Source organism: Homo sapiens, chromosome 12 (assembly GCF_000001405.40).
Source record: "Homo sapiens chromosome 12, GRCh38.p14 Primary Assembly".
NCBI classification, from domain to species: Eukaryota; Metazoa; Chordata; class Mammalia; order Primates; family Hominidae; genus Homo; species Homo sapiens.
This window is the reverse complement of record NC_000012.12, coordinates 25710584-25713160: the sequence shown is the minus strand read 5'-3', so window position 1 is coordinate 25713160 and position 2577 is coordinate 25710584. Positions and strand designations below refer to the sequence as shown.

Here is a 2577-nt window from a genome sequence, read left to right as displayed (position 1 = left end):
AACACATAAAACTAACCATCACAATCAGCAACACATAAAACAATTTCATTTTCCCTTGTTTGCATGCATGCGTGCATAGATAAGAGGAACATATATATGCATGGATAAGTGGTTAGATAGATGCTTTTTCCCTGCTTTAGACCTGTTATAAGAAGGTTAAATTAATCACAAGCCTTAGTCCATGATGAAAGATCCCTTTAAGCCTCTGTTCCTGTTTTACTTATTCCCTCTTATCCCCATCCTCTCTTCCCATTTGTCTCCTCTCATAAACAACTCTTTTAATGTGTTTTCTGTGTATAATTTTTTTCTGGTATATGTACTTGTAAAATATATATAATGATTTTATGTTGCACATATTTTTAATTTGCAGAAATAGTATTGCGATAAATGCATATAAATTTATTTCCTATTTTTCATCTTAGCACTATGTTCTAAAGATCTATCCTTATTACATCATGCTAGTAAGAAAAGTCATATAGACAGATCATCTGACTGATATACACTTTTCTTAGCACATACATGCAGCTATAGATTGGATGGCAGCATTAAAAGATTTGACCTTTTAATATAACAAACATTGCTAAGCTATACAATTTATACAACCTAACCTAAAATTACTTTACCATTTGCTCTCAAACCTCATGTTGTCAAACAGCTTTTATTGATGGTCTCCGTGTGCGACAAGCTTGTTGCACCATGAGAGTGTCTAAGCAACAAGAGCCAGAACACAGTGTTTCAAAATCTTGGCTCTACAATTGTATGATCTTGGGTAACTCACTTAACTTCTCTGTGTTTCAGTTTCATTATCTGTAAGGTGAGGTTAAAAATAGTACTACTTGCAGGCGCTGTGGCTCACGCCTAAAATCCCAGTACTTCGGGAGGCCAACGTGGGTGGATCACCTGAGGTCAGGAGTTCGAGACCAGCCTGCCAACATGGCGAAACCCATCCCTACTAAAAATACAAAAATTAGTTAGGCATGGTGGCAGGCACCTGTAATCCCAGCTACTCAGGAGGCTAAGGCAGGAGAATCACTGGAACCTGGGAGGCAGAGGTTGCAGTGAGCTGAGATCGTGCCACTGACTCCAGCCTGGGCAACAAGAGTGAAATTCCATCTCAAAAAAAAAAAAAAAAAAAAAAAAAAAAAAGAAGGTACAACTCTATGGCATTGACATGAGACTTTAAATGAATTAATATTTGTAAAGTGCTTAGAACAGTGCCTGGCAATAGGACACATCATATAGATGTTTGTGAAAGGAAAGGAAATGAAAGAATAAAAAGAACATGCCACCTGAGAATGTTGACTTGTTCCTAAGAATCAGTCTGCCTTTCCCATTAGAGCGTTTCTCTTCCTTATCTTCCAGAGAAAAATGTTTTGGTAATAAAGAGTCACTAAATGTTTATGGATAGAGGTAGTAATATTATTCTGTTATTTTACAATCTTATGTATAATATTAATAGTGACTTAGAATATTTAAGTAAATATACTAAATATTCTAAGTAACTATTAGAATTCCCAGTATAAGAATCAAGAGTAGAGATTGTAGAAAGTAGAAAAGTTCCTCTTCAAAGCTTGTCTTAGTTTAAAAATAAAATAATAGACACTAGGAATAATAGCTTCTTACTCTAAAGCCTCCTATCAACTATTAGTTCTTACACTTTAGCCCAGTTAGTTGCTTTGACTTACTCAGGCATGACTGGACAGGCCCAGGCAAGTTCTCAGCTCATAGCTTATGCCCCTTCCTTATTTGGAAATGTTATTGCTTCCTTAAACCTTTCATAAGCAACTTCCTCTCCTTCTTTGTTCTCCCATGCACTTACCTATTTAGGAAAGTTTTAGGTTATTAGCAAATCAGGTATCAGTTTAAGAATGTAAGGTCTAGCTTCAGCCAATGGATGCAGGACACAGCAGTAAGGATGACCCAAATGCATAAGGGATAAATATGTCTGTTTTTTCTTTGTTCAGGTGTGGCCTTGCCATTGTTCCAAATGCATGGAGCACCCTTTCTGCAGAAAGCAAAGATTGCCTTGCTGAGAGGTCCTTTGTCTCCGTGCTGACTTTTCTTCGTGGCACCGATTATCTATTTCTAACAGAGAGTCATGGGCATTTGGACAAAGAAAATAAAAGGATTGTGCATTTCACATCAAATATAGTAAGTTGTCAATCTCCTTAGGGCCCACAAAGCCATCTTCTTTTCTTTCCCATCAAAACATTCATGACTTCACTGTTCTCTCCTGGCCACAGAAAACAGAAATTCCCAGTGCCAGGAGCAGTGAAGTCAGAGCAATACAACGGCCTCCAGGTGTTTTGTAAGACTAATTCCTGGCATGAGGCTTTATATTTTTCTCTGCTTTTATCCTTATCATTAATGACCATGTCATTCTAGAAGCACTAACAGAATATCAGAAAGAGATGAGCATTTTTAATGGGGTTTGAAGAAGTCAAATGGAAGACCAACCATGGGATATATTTCTTAATTTGAAAATCAAGCTAAATTTAATTGATCCAGATTGTTTTTCAATATAAACTGTTGCTAACTTCCTTTCTCAGTGTGATTACAATCACTTACTTTTCAGAT

The 2577-nt window shown here is 36.6% G+C and overlaps 1 annotated feature.

Annotated features, from left to right (window-relative positions):
• Window positions 1170–2369: an enhancer, noted in NCBI's record as "MED14-independent group 3 enhancer chr12:25863726-25864925 (GRCh37/hg19 assembly coordinates)". NCBI's record gives its function as "activates an origin of replication core promoter dependent on BRD2, BRD4, P300/CBP and CDK7 cofactors, and independent of MED14, by STARR-seq in HCT116 cells {active_cell/tissue: HCT116}" and the evidence as "EXISTENCE:reporter gene assay evidence [ECO:0000049][PMID:35650434]".